The sequence below is a fragment of the Homo sapiens genome, chromosome 1 (genome assembly GCF_000001405.40).
Source record: "Homo sapiens chromosome 1, GRCh38.p14 Primary Assembly".
Lineage (NCBI taxonomy): Eukaryota > Metazoa > Chordata > Mammalia > Primates > Hominidae > Homo > Homo sapiens.
In genome coordinates, this window is record NC_000001.11 from 48,763,714 (window position 1) to 48,782,807 (window position 19,094).

Genomic DNA, 19,094 nt, shown 5'->3' on the forward strand with positions numbered 1-19,094 from the left:
CGTTCGGACTCACAAAACCATGTTAACATCTGGATGGAGAATGAACCTCAGATCATCCGATTCTATTTTTCAAAATGCAGATGAGAAAAACAAGGTTCTAAATGGTGAAGTCTGTGCATCCATCCATGCAACTCTCAGGCCTAGGAATACAGGAGGGGCAGGATGAACAGGGTCCCCATCCTGGAGAGCTCACTGTTGTGCAAGGTCACAGAAGTTACTGTCATAACATGAATGTAGGAGAACTCTGACCACATAATCCAGTTCCAGAGCTTTGCCTTCTATGCCTCGACTTAACCTTTACTGAGAATTTACTCTGTAGGATCTAAACTGGCCCGGGGGACACAGATGAACAAACATCCAGTTGGGGATACAAGATAAAAACACAAGAAAAGAGAACCCAAGATCTCAAATGCTGAATTTGAATAAGGGAGAAGTAACTGCTAAAGGATTTTAGGAGCATGGGAGATCACTTCCGTCAGTGTAACCCTGGAAGGCTTTTGAAAGGAGGTGGCATTTGAGCTAGACTCCTTACTTGCTAGGTGATCTTGAGTAAGTTAATTTACTTCTCTGAGACTATTTCCTCATCTATGAATTGAAGTGAATAATTCCTACTCACGTTGCAGAACTGTGAAGATTACCAATTCTATGTGTTAAAAACTTGAGCAGAGTGAATGGCACTTCAACAGTTGGTGCTCATAAAAGGATAGCCATTTAAAGGATGGTAAGAATCTGGACTACACAAGAGGGGTAAAGAATAGAAGCCAAATGGGGAAGGGGGGGAAATATTTGGATCAAAATGGTTATGAAAGATGGTTCAGTTATAAGCAGGAGGGAGAGGTGAGAAGGCAAGAAAAGGTGGTTGGAACTAGAAAATAAGTGGCCTTGAATGCCAAGTTAAGAAGAGCTGAGGCTCAGTGTGCAGATGTGGAATAAACTAGGCGTCAGACAACCTGGATTCCAAGTCCAGTTCTGTCGCTTTGTAGGTGTGAGATGTCAGGCAAGCTGCTACCTCACTGAGCATAATTTTTCTCTGTAGAAATGGAGATACAATATCTACCTCAAGTAGGATCAAATCAGCTCAGTAAATGTTCCTTGAAAACAATAGAGCCCCGTGCAGACAAAGGTGCAGCGGATGACAGAGCTCAGCAAGGACTGCCTGCTGGCTTCTGCTGGCTTGGGGCTTGGGGCAGGCTTGCTTCTGGAGGTAGAGACCTGCTTAGCTGCCTAAGATGGGTGACACTCCCCATCTGATGACAGGAGGCCTCATTCCCCCACCAGCTATACTCAAGGCTCTAAGCTCTTCCATCTAATTAGAATGCCCTTCTTTCTTATGTGCTAGACAAACTCTGCTTAGCTTCCACTCATCTCCTCCCTCCCTCTCAAAGATGCATTACACATCTACACATCCTACCTACCTTCTTTGTAGTCTATTATCTTACTATTTGCAATTATCTGCTTAAAGATCTTATCCACTGGCGTATGAGTAACCTCATCAGGGCAGGGCCCATATCATAGAACTATCCATACAATAGAGACTCATCAAACAAAAATGTTTAATTAAAGAATAATAAAAACAGGCTACACCAATGAGTATATGAAAGGAGCTCAACATCATCAATCATTAGGGAAATGCAAATCAAAACTACAAGGAGATACCACTTTATACTCATTAGGATGGCTCAAATCAAAAATAAAAGGAAAATAACAAGAGTAAAGAATGTAAAGATATTGGAACTCTCATACATTCCTGCTGGGTATTGTAGAATGGGCAGCCATAGTAGAGAACATTATGGCAGTTCCTCAGAAAACTAAACACAGAATTACTATAACCCAGCAATTCCGCTCCTGGGTGTATATGCAAGATAAATGAAAACATATACCCAAACAAAAACTCACACACAAATGTTCATAACAGCATTATTCATTAACAGCCAAAAGGTGGAAAAAAACCCAACTGTCCATCAACTTATGAATGGATAACAAAATGTGGTATACCCATACAACAGAGTATTATTCAACCATAAAAAGAAATGATGTACTGACTCATGTTACAACATGGATGAATCTTAAAAATATTATGGAAAGTAAAAGAAGCCAGACACAAAGGCCATTTATTGATTTCATTTATATGAAATGTTCAGAATGGGTAAATCCATAGAGACAAAAAGTAGTTTAGTTGTTACCAAGAGCAGGGGGAAAAGGGCAATAAAGAGTGACTGCTCAATGGGTAACACGGATTTATTTTCTTTTTGGGTGATAAAAACGTTCCGGAATTAAGTAGTAGTGATGGTTACAGAACTTTAGGAATATACCAAAAAACACTCACTTGCACACACTTTAAAATGGTTAAAATGGTAAAATTCACATTGAATGAAATATACCTCAATAAAAAATTAGGTTACCACTTGTGGAATGTCTACTACATGTCAGATACCTCTATAAAGATCTTCATATAAATTATACCTCACAACAACCTTGCAAGTAGGTATTATAAGCCACATTTTTTTTTCCAAAAAAGAAGAAATGAGGCTCAAAGAAACAAAACTCTCCTCCTAAAGTCACCCAGCTGGGAAGGTGCAGAGCCAAGATGTGCTATAGATCTATGTGCCTCCTAAGCCTATGCTTTAAACACATTCCTGGAACATGGTAGAGCCAGAATAAATACTGAATGAATGAGTGAATGACAGCTACAGTTGAGGACATCTAAATTCCCCAGCCTAAGCTCAAAGCAGAAGACCACTTGACTCCCACTTTCTTGCCAGACCACGTCCTCTATCCTCAGTAAGTCTCCAGAAAGCAGCAACCATCACCAGGCACAACAGAAACAAGTTGTGGCCAACCCTCAGGGCTTGAATGGGTTCTTTGAAAAGGTGGCTGAATAGTCCAGGAAGCTCTGAGGTGTCAGGAATGAGTTCAGGAAAGGGACAGAAGCAGATAGCACCTTGATTCACATGCCTCTTGACCTGGATCCTGGCTGCCTCCATGCTTGGCCAGGGGGATTTCGAGGCTCCTCTGAGAGTTAACCACCTCCTGGCTCCATCCTAATACTTACCAGTCTCTTCCTGGACCCATGTTCCCAGAGTGAGGGTCGGGAAGTCCCAAGTCCTCTGCTCATTCTTTTCTGCAGGCAGTGAACATTTACTGTTCCTGTTTTGATTTCAGCACTATGCTAAGTAGTCCTTGTGTTTTTGGTCCTTACAACCCAGTATATGATAAGAACCCAACCAAAATGCAAGGTGTGACTTCGTGAGAGACACTGGCTTATATAGTGCAAATATCTGCTCTCTATGCCATCCTAACCCTAATCCTGAGTTGAAGGTATAGATACCTCACATCCATAGAAGATTACTGAACATTCAGTGTCATCATAACAAATGGAAGAAATGGTTGGGAGAGGGTGGCCCAGTATCTAGCAAAAACAGTGCAGTCTTTTGAATCAGGTGGTCCTAATTTGGAATTCTGGCTTTGCTACATACTAACTGTGGCAGCTTGGGGTAAGCTAGTTAACCTGTCTGAGACTCAGTTTCATTACCAGTGAAGTGGGGATAATAAACTCTTTTCCAAAGAGATAGTGCATGTAAAAGCACCAAGCACAGTGCCTTTCTTGTCATAGATGTTCAATAAATAGCAGCTGTTAGGCTACCCTTGTGTATTACCTGTTTGCCTTTTGTCCCAAGGCAAAGAGAACCACTGCAGGTATCTGACACAGACTGAGACATGATGAAAGAGATGTTTTAGGAAGATTAATGTGACAGTGGCAAGCAAGACGGATAAGACGTGAGGAGGAGACAGAACACAGGGTGACAAGAAGCTGTAACTCTTGACTGGTCACATGAATGAAGGTGAATGGTGGTGTGGATCATGTAAGACAGTAAATACTTTATGTGGCATTTTAATGTGACTTTGGGATATGCTTCTGGCTTTGAATTCCAAGAAACCACAGAAGAAACTAGGAAGGATGAAAAAGCTCTTTACTCAGCCGGTCTGTGCAACTACTCTAACCTTGAGGCCAAATAATCAGTTTTAGTGTAAACAAAAATAAATGTGCAGCCTCTGAAGATAAAATCACCAATCTTCACTTCTGGACTCTTTTATGTCCAGGGCAAGGGAAACCACCAAAGATTTGGGCATTATCCTTTTCCTCCTCCTTTCTAGCTACTACAATGTCAGCTAATTACATTCATCCATTCAACAAATACTGAGTGAGCACCTACTATGTGCCAGGCTCTGGGCAACATTCCTTACAAACTCACTATATTTAATCCCTACAATAATGCTACTGAAGCAGAAACTGAGGCTCAAAGAAGTGAAGTGGCTTTCATAAAGACATAAATAGCAGAGCCAACATTTCAAATCAAGTCTGTTTAATACAGGCCCTGTTCCTATCACCTAATTATCCTACAGCAACAAGAGAAAAATAAGGAAGTTGCTGTAACTTCCTCAAATGAACTAAAAGGCACATGTAACATGAGTATGTCAATATAACTTCCTAAAGTGCCTGCCTTTCTCCCAAGATCTTGCCTACACCCTAAGAGAATACTGTGATGAATTCCCAAGTTGAAGTAAACACTATATAAATATGACCTGTTGCCAAACTCCTGAACTACAAGGCTTATGGAAGCCACAAAGCTCTAAATAATGCCCAAATAGGGTCTCTACTCAAAGCCACAAAGAGCTTTCTTGTAAAAAAAATGGTAAAAACTGCTATTCAAAAATATAGAAGAACTTGGTGTTATTAATCTGAGGAGGATAAACATTCCATTAAACTTACTACTGGGGAAAAAAGGAAGCATGCTGGTAATAGGCAAATGGTGTTTTAGAAAAAACAAGCAGGTGACAGGAAACCCAATGCAAGTCTGTATTCAAAAGTGAATTTACCCATGAAGAATTTACAGTATTATTAAAATGGGAGAAATTTTGTCTTAACTTCCATTTGACATATAATCAGGCTGGGCAATTAAAATAATCCAATGTCAGAGAGCCTAATTTGGTATGAGTTTGTTAGCCAGGATGAAATTCTGAAAGGCTACACATAAAATGCTTTGTAAAGGTCTTATAAATATCTATATATAAGTTTAAAGTTTTTCATCTATACAAAAATCCTGTGCAGTTTTATGTTTGCATTAAAAACAGATATGCCACAGAAAATACAAACACAGTGCATTCTCTGGCCGATGGTGTTTGTTTTTATAAAATCCAAGGCAGACAAAATTCTCAAGTTTCAAGGATTGTACCCAGCCAAGACTACAAAAAAAAGAGTGCCCTGCTGTGGTGTTGCAGAAAGACATCAGGAGACACCAAATCGAGGCCTGCCTCTCTCATTAACTTGTTTGGTGATTAGTCCTCTCTTGATTTTCTTTTCTGTAAAACATGAAGACTACAGTAGAAAACCTTAACAGATCCATCCAGCTATGTGACCGCTGGCCAGTCACAGGGACTTCCAGGTCTCTTTCTCAGCTGTGTAATGTAGGGTAACAGTAGATGAGCTAGAAGATTCTTCCACGTGGGCATGTTTGAAGAAATGCCCTACTGAGGCCATCCACATAGGGAGAGAAGGAATTGCTAGCCAGGTTTCAGTAGGTCTCCTTGTTCTCACTCCCACCACCTCTCTGGCCTTGGTACAGGACTGGGGCACAGAAAAAACTGGGAAGTTCATTCTATGGAGCCATTTGTCTAGCTGCCTCCATGTGCCTCACCAGGGCTGCTGCCAACACAATAAATGCCCCCAGGATAGGGTCGCAGAGGAACAAACAGGGAGGGAAATATTAATAGTAAGCCTTTCATGCTTAGGTCAAGTCCCAGGAGGATTTAAAACACACACACACACACACACACACACACACACACACACACACACAAGTTAAATTTTAAACTTGTATGCTCCTTCCAAGTGCTCGTTCCTCTAAGTCATTCCTTTCCACAGTGGGCAGTACCCACAACTAAGCAAGTCACTGTTCTTCTCTCAGCACCTATTAGTCCACTGTAGTTCCTAACAGTTATCTATATTTAATGAGAACCTACTATATGCCAGATATTTTTCCATATTATCCTGCTAAATAACACAGTGGGCAATTACTATCTCCATGCTATAGATGAGCACCTGGAACTCAGAGATGTGAAGTAATCTCCCCAAAGCCACACAGCTTCTAAGTAGCACAGTCACAATTTTAACCCAGACTATGTAACTTCAAAGCCTGTCCTCTTTCAGCTCTCTAAAATTTCCTCTTCAGTAGTTAAGGAAATGATCTAGAAGTCATCTAACCAAACTCTCCCATAGTGCAGGGTTCCATCCTAAAATACCCCTGACCTGCTTGCCACCTTTAGTGACAGGGAGCTCAGCACCATGCTAGAAGCCCTTTCCATTATTTGTCTGCTCTCTCTGCTGTTATATTGCTCCCACCAATGCCTGTGAATTCCATTCTCTGACCCCAACTCTGCTTTCAAGAGCAAGGCTGATCCTTCCTCTGTGGTGCAAAACTGAGAAAATGAAAATTACCAAAATATCATCCCATTCAAATCTTTTCTTTTCCTGCTTATGTATTTAGCTGTCCTATCCTATGTCTGACCAATGAGTGAAAAGGAAAAGGTAGCTGCTATATAGTTAAAAGAAACCCAAACAAGCCTAGTTCTAGGATCCAAAGACCTCTCTTCTCATTTGGTTTCCAGGACACCTATCTCTGCTGGTTATCCCCTGATTCTAAGTCCATCTGTTAGACTAGGAAGGCTGTTTCTCCCCAGTCACTTTTTTTTCAGGCTCTTCTTTAACTGTGCCTTTAAAAGCCGATGTTCTGCCCTTGCACGCTTCTCTCACTCTGCACTCTCTCCCACTGTAACTTCAAACCTTCCTTAGTTCATGACTTCCAGATTGAGATCTTTGACTTGGAATGCTCTTCTGAACCTCAGACCACATGCCTACTTGCTCTCCTGACATATCCACCCAGATGTTCCATGGGCCCTTAAGATTCGACAGGTCTCAAGCTACTCATCATTTTCCCTTTCAACCAGCTACACTTCCAGGGTTCTCCTCGAGACAGGGAGGCCCAGATCACCACATCATCATCATACACATTATTACAACCAGTCAGTTACTAAGTCCCATGAATTAGTCCCTCCTTCCTTAAAATATCTCAGGTCCACCATGACCACCACCACCTTAGTTTAGGTCTCAGAATTTTGGACTGAACTGACTCATATTTATCCACAAGTCCAGTCCATGTGGGAAGACTTAGCCCACTGCCTGGCACCTACAGTGTTCACTAAACAACTGTTTGAATGGCTCTCTTTTCTTGGGTAAAACAAAAATCTCTATCTCACAAGGATGTAGAATATGTGCACTGAACCTGGAACCAGGTGAGTATTTATAACATATTTGGTAGGGAAACACAGTGCTTATTCCTCTTCCTGCATTTCCCTGGAGTATAAGACTGACCACCTAGTATAACTCAATACTTGTGGAACTTAAATCAACCAGAGAAAATGTCTCCAGATTACGAATGTTCTTCTGGTAGAAAGAGTACACACAACTTCTGTCCCTAAGGAGCTTATAAGACAAAGCAGGTAGGCACACTAGAAAGAGAATTGGTCTTGGTGTCAAAGACCCCAATCTGAATTCTGCTTTCTGGATGTGCTTTTAAAAATAAAAACTGGTGTGCTCTTGAACAGCAAAACACCACATAAAAAGCAACTTGCCTGGGACAATTTTTTATTTCTGCTTATGAACCAGAACTCTGAAGCACTCTGTAGCACATACTATTTAGCTGTAAAAATTGGTGGTTGTTGAACATGAGAAATCACATTAGACTGAACCCTCAATGGTTAACATCCCAGTAGAATCCGCAACAGATGACAGCAGGCAATTTCCAATCTTTGCTCCAATGTATATCAGCAAAACATGTCAAAACCTAAATTAAAAGTTTTCACTCACTTTTTTCAAGAAAATAAATCCTTTTGTTGGCAGTTTCCCACTGATGACACGCAACAATCTTTGCATATGAAATCGGCTAGTCCTCTGCTTCACTGCTAACTTTGTAGAAGTTCCAAAGCATTTCTGGAGCAAATGATCTATTTGGACTAACAATGCCAAGCTGGGACCTGAGCCCTGAATGAGCTAAAATTACCAAAGCAATAAGAACATGGCTTTGGAAGCTATTTCCCCCAAGTGTGGGGTTTCTTCTAGCTAGTTGAGGGAGTGATAAAGAATGTTGACTTCTTCCAGATGAACAAAGTTGAATGAAAACTTAAAATCCTACGGCAGGTTTCTGTTCTGAAAAACAAGCTGCTGCTGCAGAGGTTCCTATCTCCCCTATTTCCCTCTCCTCAAGCACAAAAATGCACCTGTCTTCCCAAAGTTGATGAGTTCAACATGGGCACACCAGTGCAGACTATATGCTGGGCACTGAGGATGCAGGCACAAGGAAGCCAGGCCCCTGTCCTAGAGGAGTTCCCTGTCAGGCAGGAAGAGAGGCACATTCATGACTAATAAAAACAAGACATAAAATGCTACAATCCATAAGCAAGGCAAAACCAAAGTGAAAAGAGAGTTCTGAGGAGGGAGAGAGTCTCTCTTGGGCGCAGAGGGAGGAATAGGGACTACCACTGAAGCAAGGTCTCCAAATGTACTTTGTCCACTCCTTTATCACAGGTGGAGGGGGGCTGGACCACAAACTTCTGTCACATGTCTACCTTCCCCACCTGTAGGTGAGCTCCTTGCAGGCAGAGGCCCCATATCAGACAATGATTAATCCACCTTGGCTGGCTCAAAGGAGTGCGAGAGAGTGTGTTCACAGAAGAGTAAAAAATACCATAGGTCTCAGGGAAAGGGGAAGAGAGAGTGAGGCTGGAGAAGTAAGGTGGGGCTGGGATAGAGCTGGTCTAAGGAGGGCTATGAATGCCAGGCTAAGAAACTAAAACTTTTTTCAGTAGGCAATAGGGAGCTACAGAAGGTTCTAATGAGAGCAGTCAACTAAGACTGTGTTTTAGAAGATTATTCTAAAAGCAATTGGGAAAATAGATCAGAGACATGGTAATCAATTAGAAGACTGCTTCAATAGTTTAGATAAGAGCTGATGCTGACCTGAATGCAGGCAGTGATGGTGGAGCTGGAAAAGAAAAACTTAAAAGATAAACTGCAAAGCCCACCTTGAATTGGTCCATTCTCTGTGTTTCCCCAGTGCCTGGCTTCTACCTTTATTTAGCACTTACTTTGAGGCCCCCAAATTACACACTCCCTGAGGATGATACCCATTTCTTTTCCATCACTCCCTCCCCCACAGAAATCCTACATAGCAGGACATGAAAAGTCAACGCCTGCCACCCCTGGGTCGTGCTGTCATTTCAATCACAGTACCTGAGATGCATAGGTGCACTGGTATATTCACTTAATACAGCACTGGGCCTGGCATACAGAAAGCAGTAAGGAGACATCTGAAACAAAAAAATTCAGCACACTCAAACAACAGTAACAGAGCACAGGTGCCTAGATAGAACAACTTAAAATTTTAGGGCTCTAGGCACAGAGAAACCAGTTTGAGCCTCCTAAAAAAAAAATAAAATTCAACACTATGAGCCCCAGTAGCAGGCTGGATTGCAGTTAGATGATGGTGAGCTCTCCAAATGAGTAGTTCTCACTTTCACAACCTGCTTGGCAAATAAATGAGAGTAAAGAGAGAACAGAGGTCAAAGGTGAGTCAAACTTTGAGTTATGTGGACCCTCCAAGAGGGACAGCCTTAGTGAAGATTTATTCAAGCAAATGCCAACTGAAGAGATAGGCGGGTGGGGGACAGCTGTGTGTGCTCTGTAAGAGGGAGGATGGTAATGGAGAAAGAGCAGAATGGGCTTGAAAACTCAGAAACTAAAATTATACTCTGGCTTGAAAACTTGCCTTGAGCTGTAAGCTTCATGGACAGTTTTTCCATTTCCTTTCACTCCTTCCAAATCATGCTGTGTAGCTGATGGGAACATCGGCTACTTTACAAAGGAGACTGCCAAGTGGGGGCCTGGCACTGGAAGACCTGTGTTCCAATTCCAGCCTTGCCATTTATTAGCTGTGTGGCTGTAGGCAAGTCTCTGAGCTTCGGTGTCCTCATCTATGAAATGGAAATACTAACCACAGCAATACCTACCAAAATGTCACTTAGAGGACTAACAGAGATAATGTGTAGGCATATAGCAAGACTATCAGGAAAGAAGGAGTTTTGTTTTTCCTTGAACTGGGATTGTAATTTGATAAGTAGTGGTATAAACCACCTACTATGGGCAGTAAAATGTAAAGTCCCACAGCAGTCGGCTTTGACATTTCCTGAGTATAAAAAGAAGTATACTTCAAGACAGCTCTGGGCTGGCTTGGGCCAACACTCAGTATAGCAACATACTTCTCACCAAAAGCCAGAAAGCTGTGCTGAAACTACCTTGGAAACCATTCTATTTGTGTCAGAGAGATTAATTAATCAATTAATAGCTAATCCACAAACATAAAGCCACCTCTGCTTCCCACTTGAGGGGATTCCTCCTCACACCTGGTGCCATAGCACAGTGGTATTTACATATAGGAGATGCCAGATGAGCTCTCTGAAGTCACTGTAAGCAATTCTCAGAGCCACCAAGTTTAAGTCAGGAAGGGGTTTGAAGATACATAGGAGTTATTCCAGGGTAATGAATTCCCGAACTCACCCTGGCCCTTCGATCAGGTCTCTATGCAGGGCAGTGGGTACCCAGGAGATCAAAATTCAAAATGTGGTTTGGCCAACTTCAAGTTGTTGTCTTTTTTTCCCCTTTCTCCTCCCAAGAAAAAAACTGAAGAGAGGTAAGGGGAAGTGTTTTTCAACTAATTCAAACTGGCACACTTCTTTGAACCTACTCTGCCAGTTTCCAAATGATGCTTGGGTTTTTTAAATAACCATACAGATTTATCAACATTCTAACTTGGAGGATGAACAGTCTACAGGTTCAAAATTCATGGTTCTCAAACCAACAGCTACATGTATCTTGCTTCTGAGGACTTGTGTCGATTTCAAAATCAGAGCTGGTGGGAGCTGCCATCTGCCTAAGTGGCCTCTCTGCAGTGCCTGAAGAGTCAAGCACAGTGTATATGTATGTTTGCTGAATGAATGAGTAGATGAATGAAACAATCTCCAAGAGAGGAAAACAGCCATTACACACTAAGAAACTTATCACTGACTCTCTTTAACACATCACTTCTACTCTCCTAGGACCCTTCCAGATCTAGGAGTACAATACAATCGTCAAGAAGCATGCATGCATTTTCTTCTAGCAAAAGGGAAGCTAAGGTTACAACCTAGTTATAACTTCCTCAAGCCTATCGTCTTGGGAAATAAATTCCTAATCCTTTCCCTCAGGTAATTAAAGGCAAGTAAGCAAACAAAATAAAACCTAATCAGCTATGAATGGTTCCCTTTTCTAAAATCTGCTTCCCCTCCCTCAGTTTCTTTGGCCCTAGGTGTCTGGCAGTGGGTGGGCCTACACTTCGGTGTGCCAGGGCTTATCAGGGAGGTGGTATGGATAGAGCCTGTCAAAAAGGGTCCAAGTGCTGCTGGTCAGTTTCCAGTTCTTCCACTCTTCAACTTCTGCAAACCGATTTTTCAGAGGCAACATGAGTTGTGAGACTGAGCTAACTTGCCATGAGACCCTGGGCAAGTCTCTATGGGTTGAGAGAATGTTGGGTTCATCTTTTAGGCTAAATGTGAGGAAGCAAAGGAACTTGAAAAAAATAGAGAAGGTCTCAAAATTACAAAACATCTTCATTCAGTCACTAACCCTTCGTGTTCTTTCTGGTAGAAGGCAGGAACACTATTTGCCCACTTTAAGGTTCATTCTCCTTACCAGCAGGAGCTAAAAAGGCTGCTCCCCAAAACGGAGATGATACTTCCCCCTTCCTTGCTTGTCTAGACTCAAACTTTCTGGAACTAGCTGGGAAAGAGGGCCAGCTGTCTTCTCTTTACAAAGGAAAAGGTGTCTCAGCATGGCAGGAAGAACTGGAGCATAGGAGGATAAAGGGCTGGTTTCTTTCCCTATCACCAACTGAACCTCAGTACCCTCATCTACGAAATGGAGATGAGACTAGCTGCCTTAGCCCATCTCTCAGGGCCCTGGCAGGGCAGGGATGAGAGGTCCAGTGTTATTCTGACCCAGAAACTCTCTCCTGGCCCTCAACTCTCTCATTCAGGGAGCCTTCTGGGAGATTCAGAAAGGGGTGTGGAGGCTGAGGGATGCCTTAGGGCCTCTACCTCCTTACCTCTGCCACCTGGCCAGGGAGGGGCAGGAGAGTGTGGTGTGGAGCCCAGTGCACTGAGGTTCATGGCCTCCTCATCCTGTCCAATGTTGGCCCGGATGGGACAAGGATGTCATAGCTTCCCTCTGTGAGGAGGGACTCCCACCTAGAAGATCTGACAATATCCTTCTTGCTCCTCACTCCAAGGAGGTACCAACAGCCTTTAAAGGGAGAGAGACAGACAGCTTGAGAAACTTAATTCTTGACAGAAAAGAACAGAGGGAAGGAACTGGGAGAGAGGTAAAGAGAAGGTGAGAGAGAAATGACGGTACAAACAGGTAGGGAGAAAAATGGAAAGTGAAGGAACGAAGAAAACACAAAGAATCAGAAAGAGGAGGACAGACACAGATGAAGAGATGAAGACGGACTGACAGCGCGGGAGCTTCGGGGAAGCGGGGAAGACAAAGGGGACCATCCGGTCTTTTTAACTGGCCTGGCCTCTTAGAGACACCCCGTTCCCAAATGAAATGCCCAGAGGACGGGAGAAGGAGGCAGGAAGGAGCAAGCAGTGGCTCCCCCCGGTCCCCTCCGCCCGGGCCCCCGGCCCCTCCCGGGGTCCCAGCCCCCGCCCGGGTCCCACCGTCCCTCCCCGCCCGCTTGCTCACCTGCCAGCGCCAGGATCTGGGCCTTGTGGAGCAACAGCGCGCCCCAGTCGCGGGGGGCGCGCGGGGGGCTCTCGGGCCCGGCGCCCAATTCCTCCGGGCCCCGGTACACGGCGTACACCTTCTGGTTGTCAAAATCCAGCCGCGAGCGGGGGCTGAAGTCGCGCACGCACGACACGGGCAGCGCGTAGCAGACGTTGTCCTCCAGGAACCGCACAAAGGCGTACATGGTGGGCGCCGGGGGCGGGCCCCGGTCGGGCAGCTCAGCCCGCGGGGCGGGCGCGGAGGTGGGGATCCGGCGGGGGGCGCGAGTCTCGCTACGGTGCTGGGGGGGGCGGGGGCGGCTCCCCAGGACCCAGGCTCCCCCCACTGTTATTGTTCCTGAAAGCACCGTTCTGCCAATCGGCTGCTTTCGCCTGGGCGCGGAAAAGGGAGGGAGGGGGGGAAAGGGGGACGAGGGGCGGATGAGGGGGGTTTGGAAGCGCACTGCCACTTGCAAAGTCAGACCCGAGCAATCACAGCCGGAGCGCGATTCGAATGGGGAGGGAAAAGGGTTCAGAGATTCAGTTGCAATAAAAATAATAACAAGAGCATTGCAGGAAAAAAATGCATTGATTAAAAGGTGCGCTGCGTGCAGGATTATATTGCTTCAACAATCGCGCTGCCAAATTGCATTGCAACAAAACTGCATTGCCAAGTAGAGAAGTGTATGAGTGAGTGAATGCGGGATAGGGGTGGGGGCAATCTTGATTGAATCTCAAAGTGTAAACTTGGAAGCCAGCAGAAGTTTGGAGTGTTTTAAATGTAGCCACCCTACCCGCGCCCCCAGCCCCGCACCCTCCCCGCGCCTTTCCCAGCCCTTAGTTTGGCCCCGCCTTTTCTTTGCTTTCTTTCTTTTTGTTTGTTTGTTTGTTTGTTTTGTTCTGCAAAACTGCCAGCTCCCTCTGTGGAAAGGGTCAGTCAGACAGAAAATTTCCCCTAGAGCTGCCAAACCAGTTCTGACCAGAACTGGGGCTTATCTGAGATTTCCAGTTGTGCCAGCTGGCTGGGGAGGTGGAAGGTTTGTCAAGGGCTGCTCTCATCTGAGGGAGCAGTGGCGCCCCTCTCCTCTATAGTCTTTCTCCATTGAGATACCCTCTCCACAGCACGCCCACCACTGAGCAGGGACAACTTGGAATCGCGGAGGGAGTTGAGGAGCGCTCTGGGTAACACAGGCCCAAGGCTAGGGATTTCTGGAGCACTTTGAAGAGTACAGGAATAGTACTCCATGGAATAGCGGTCTTTGCTCTGTCTCTTGCCAAAGAGAGCCTGGAGGGGCTTGGGTCCCCTCCAAGACAAGCCGTGAGGACCAGCCAAAGGGGGCTGATTGGGCTCTGTACTCATAGGAACCCTATCCCACATCAGAGGAGGTCAGTACCTTCACAGGGATGCCTCGTATCAAATATGGCTAGTTATATTTCTGTTGCCTAGCCAGACCTGGCACTTGACAGGGAGTTAATGAATTTTGGGTAAAGAAGAATAAATAAAAACCCACATCCATCCATCCATCCATCCATCCATCCATCCATCCATCCATCCAACCATCCATCCATCTGTTCATTCATTCCTTTATTCAAGCAACCAATATTCACTGAGTTTACACCACCTGCCAGATTCTGGGCCAGGTGCTGGTGATAGAAATGAAAAGATAAACACCTGGATTCTTGGGCCTTGCAAAGTCAGTGTACCAGAACTTGAATCTCAGTTTTGGGTTCCTGTGCCAAAATTAGGTAACTGTATGAATAACATACCTTTCCCATCCTCACAACCTTTACAATCTAGTCTAGGAGTATTAAAGAAGTATAAGCAAGTAATGACAGTATAATGAGAAAAGTATTGTCATAGAGGAATGCTTAATGGAGGTGTTGGACTCAATTAAATGTTATATTTTTAAAAATTCATCTTAATAAACTTTAGCTGTAAGAAAAAAACAGAATAAGTGCACCAAAATGTTAATAGTGATTTTTTTAGCTTCTTAGTAGTGGTAGATGATTTTGTTTTTCCTTGTATTCATTGTGTGTGTGTGTGTGTATGTAACTATTTTCCACAATGTTTTATTACTTTATCATCAGAAAACATCAAACATTATAAAATCAAAGCACTGTGCTCATATTTCACATCAGCTGCACTGACAATGAGGCAGATATTTATTTCACTGTGAAATAGACAGTGCGTTATATAAGTGAATCCCATCAACATATAGCTCTCATATCCAAATGTGTAGGTCAGTACAAATTTTTTTAAACCAACCCACTGGTTATGTGGTACAGCCAAAAATGACCACCACTTGTCCTGATGCAGCTGTTGGTCTTATCTTGCCCCACAAGCTTGTGGAAAAAAAAGGAGCCACTCTGAGTTGTTCCAGCACATTTACTGTCATGATTATGATTTCTTTGGACTGATCCTCAGTGAGTTTTTATTTTAAGAATACATTCCTATGGTGGTCAAGGGGAAGTAATGTGCAGCAAGACTTCTGATAATTCACAAGATGGATCATGCAGAGTTGGCCGTATTTAACAAAAGTCCTTGAAGCTCCGGACTATGTTCCCAAAATGATTTCAAGTAGCCAATGGCCAACCTCCTCTCTGCATCTAAATGGGGGTGACCACAAAACATTACCAATCTCATCTCTTACTACCTTCCCAGACACAGTACACTCCAGACACCTAAACTATTTGACATTTCCAAAGATAGCATGTTTTAGCAGGTCCCAAGCTTTTGTGCTTTTTCTGCCTTCATCCTGGGAAGTTCTTCCTTCCTCAACTTACCCTGAAAATCAGCTCAAATGTCATTGCCTTTGTGAAGCCTTTCCCAACCACCCACACTTTTCAAGGATAGCCTATCTCTTTCTACTACAATATTTTGTCCCAGCACTTTTTATCTTCCCTCACTAGAATAAGAGCTCTTTGAGGGGAGGCAAAGGCTGAGTAACTTTAGCATCCCAGGTACCTAGCACAGGGCTGGGGAGTAAATGTTTATAAAACAAATGTATTAAAGAAGGACATAAAGAGAGCATGAATAACAAACCTCTTGCACATTTTTTCTTGAAAGTCTGTTCCTCTCTTTTTTTTTTTTTTTTTTTTTTTCTTGAGACGGAGTTTCGCTCTTGTTGCCCAGGCTGGAGTGCAATGGCCTGGTCTCGGCTCACTGCCACTTCCACCTCCCAGGTTCAAGCGATTCTCCTGCCTCAGCCTCCCAAGTAGCTGGGATTACAGGTGCTCGCCACCACGCCTGGCTAATTTTTGTATTTTTAGTAGAGACGAGTTTTCACCATGTTGGTCAGGCTGGTCTCAAATTCCTGACCTCAGGCAATCCACCCTCCTCGGCCTCCCAATGTGCTGGGATTACAGATGTGAGCCACCGCGCCCGGCCTTTATTATTATTAATATTATTATTATTATTACACTTTAAGCTCTGGTATACATGTGCAAAACATGCAGGTTTGTTACATAGGTATACACATGCCATGATGGTTTGCTGCACTCATCAACTCATCAACTACATTAGGTATTTCTCCTAATGCTATCCCTCCCCTAGTCCCCCAGCCCCCCACCCCCCTACAGGCCCCGGTATGTGATGTTCCCCTCCCCGTATCTATGTGTTCTCATTGTTCACCTCCCACTTATGAGAGAGAATAGGACACAAACAAATGAAAAAACATTCCATGCTCATGGATAGGAAGAATCAATATTGTGAAAATGGTCATATTGCCCAAAGTAATTTATAGATTCAATGCTATCCCCATCAAGCTACCATTAACTTTCTTCACGGAATTAGAAAAAACTACTTTAAATTTCATATGGAACCAAAAAAGAGCCCATGTAGCCAACACAATCCTAAGCAAAAAGAACAAAACTGAGGCATCATGCTACCTGACTTCAAACCATACTAGAAGGCTACAGTAGCCAAAACAGCATAGTACTGGTACCAAAACAGGTATATAGACCAATGGAACAGAACAGAGGCCTCAGAAATAATGCCACACATCTACAACCATCTGATGTTTGACAAACCTGACAAAAACAAGCATTGGGGAAAGGATTCCCTGTTTAATAAATAGTGTTAGGAAAACTAGCTAGCCATATGCACAAAACTAAAACTGGACCCCCTCCTTACACCTTATACAAAAATTAACTCAAGATGGATTGAACACTTAAATGTAAGACCTAAAACCATAAAAACTCTAGAAGAAAACCTAGGTAATACCATTCAGGACATAGGCATGGGCAAAGACTTCATGACTAAAACACTAAAAGCAATGGCGACAAAAGCCAAAATTGACAAATGGGATCTAATTAAACTAAAGAGCTTCTGCATAGTCTGTTCCCCTTTTTAAGGGTTGATGCTGAATCCCAACTCTGCCTTTCCCATTCCCAGTGATCGAAGGGCAGAAGAACATTGATTCTACCACTTGTAAGACAGACACATTCATTAACATATTAAATATCACTGCACCCTGGGGTTCAAATTCCCTACCCATGTCACTGTAAATCATTCCTATAAGGAGGCAGTTCCATTTTCCGATAACCCAGAAAGAGGAAAAGAACAGACGATGGACCCGGATGCTGACAGAGTAAACACAGATCAAAACACATGTTTCATAGATCCACAGAATCGATTCTGGAGTAGTCATGACTGGCACGGGATGCTTAAAGAGATACCCTTGGACGGCACCAGAAAGACGTCAGTTCCTGCTTCCTGTGTGACTCACACATTCAGTCTATGGATACAGCTTAATGGAAAACCTACTATGTGCCATAGGGCGCCTCTTCCACCCTACTGAAAACTGAGCAACAGTACTTTGACCTGGAGACCATAGCCCTGGGCTTTACACATACCAGATACTCAAGATATTGATGATTCATTGACTGGTGAGCAAAGATAGTTTAAATACAGATTTCAGACTTAAAGAGGCAACTGCAAACTTCAAGTTTAACCAAATCATTGTTGAATCCCCTCTTCAATATTTCTGCCAAATGGGCATCTAGAACACCTTTTATACAGTTCTAATGCCAGGAAGCTTACTAGCTCCCCTTAACTTTTATACATTACCAAGTGTTAGAAAGGTCTTTTTTACTTGCACTGAGGTAGAATCTTTAACCTTATAGCAGCCATACTAGGTTCACCAAGACTCTCACGCCTGCCCTTCAGACATGGTGAAACTTGGAATCCTGTCTCCCAGCTCTTTGTCTTCTGCCCAAACATCTTCATTTCCTTCACCTGTCTCTCCTCATATGACCTGGTTTCAGTGATGATAATTGTAATACCTATTTTTTCTCTAAAGCTTATAAATCATGCATGCCAGGCGCTGTGTATACATGATCTCAATTACTTCACACCAAATTCTTCAGGTGGGTGTTATTAAACACATGATAGAGTTGAGAACATGGAGAACTATGGCAAAGCAGTTTGGCTCTGGGGAGCCCTGGAAGGCTTGTGGTTATATTTCAATTTTAGACAGTTTGCTCTAGAAACATTGTGGGGAAGGATTGGAGGGGACGCAAGTCTGGGGAGACAGAGGCCTGCGAAGACGCTGACTGTCCTGTCTCACCCCTCCCCCGACTCTCTTTTTCTGTGGGCCAAATGTGCTTTGCCTTTCATCCAAGTCATTTTAATGGAGCAGAAAATGTACACATCTGGGGCAGCTTTGCAACTGCATCTCCACTCCACTCTCCTGTTGAGTTTTGCAGAGCCTTGGGTTAATGTCAGGCTCCTTTGGTTTAGCCAGCTGAAGCATGTTCAGTGGCAGCAGTGGGACTTATGTTTCATATTACTACATGGAATTCTCAATGTAGTTTGCAAAACTATTTTTAAGGAGACCTGGGTTTTGTAAATTTTTAAAGCAATTGGAGCGTGCCTTTTCAACCTCTCTGCTAATGATTGACCACATTTTTTCATGATTTTGCCTTTTTTCCCTGTGATGTTTGATTAGACTTTTCAAGTCTCTGCTTTTTACATTTTTGAAAGACTTTTTAAATAGTAGTTTTAGGTTCATAGTAAAATTAAGAGGCAAGTACAGAAATTGCCTTCATACCTCCTATCACCCACACAGGTATAGCCTCCTTAATACCAACATCCCCCACCAGAGTGGTATATCTGTTGCAACTGATGAACCTACATTGACACATCATCATCACCCAAAGTCCACAGTTTACATTTGAGTTCA

At 43.5% G+C, this 19,094-nt stretch overlaps 2 protein-coding genes across 19 annotated transcripts in view; both read right to left on the minus strand.

Moving 5' to 3' along the window:
* BEND5 (BEN domain containing 5) overlaps positions 1 to 13,178 on the minus strand; it is a 49,373-nt gene extending 36,195 nt beyond the window's left edge. For 6 of the 11 annotated variants that reach the window (NR_146232.2, NM_001349793.2, NM_024603.4 and 3 more), the window contains exon 1: positions 12,893 to 13,178. Coding sequence is in view for 4 of the 11 variants with exons in the window: in NM_024603.4 (NP_078879.2) it covers positions 12,893 to 13,118 (226 nt within the window). In the remaining 7 variants the exon portion in view is untranslated. Of the gene's footprint in view, positions 1 to 9,346; positions 12,218 to 12,251; positions 12,449 to 12,892 lie in introns of those variants that run through there. The other 5 variants (NM_001349795.2, XM_047430505.1, NM_001349794.2 and 2 more) reach the window with 5 other exon arrangements.
* The window catches only part of AGBL4 (AGBL carboxypeptidase 4), a 1,501,444-nt gene that overhangs the window by 241,203 nt on the left and 1,241,147 nt on the right, over positions 1 to 19,094 (minus strand). The window lies entirely within an intron of this gene.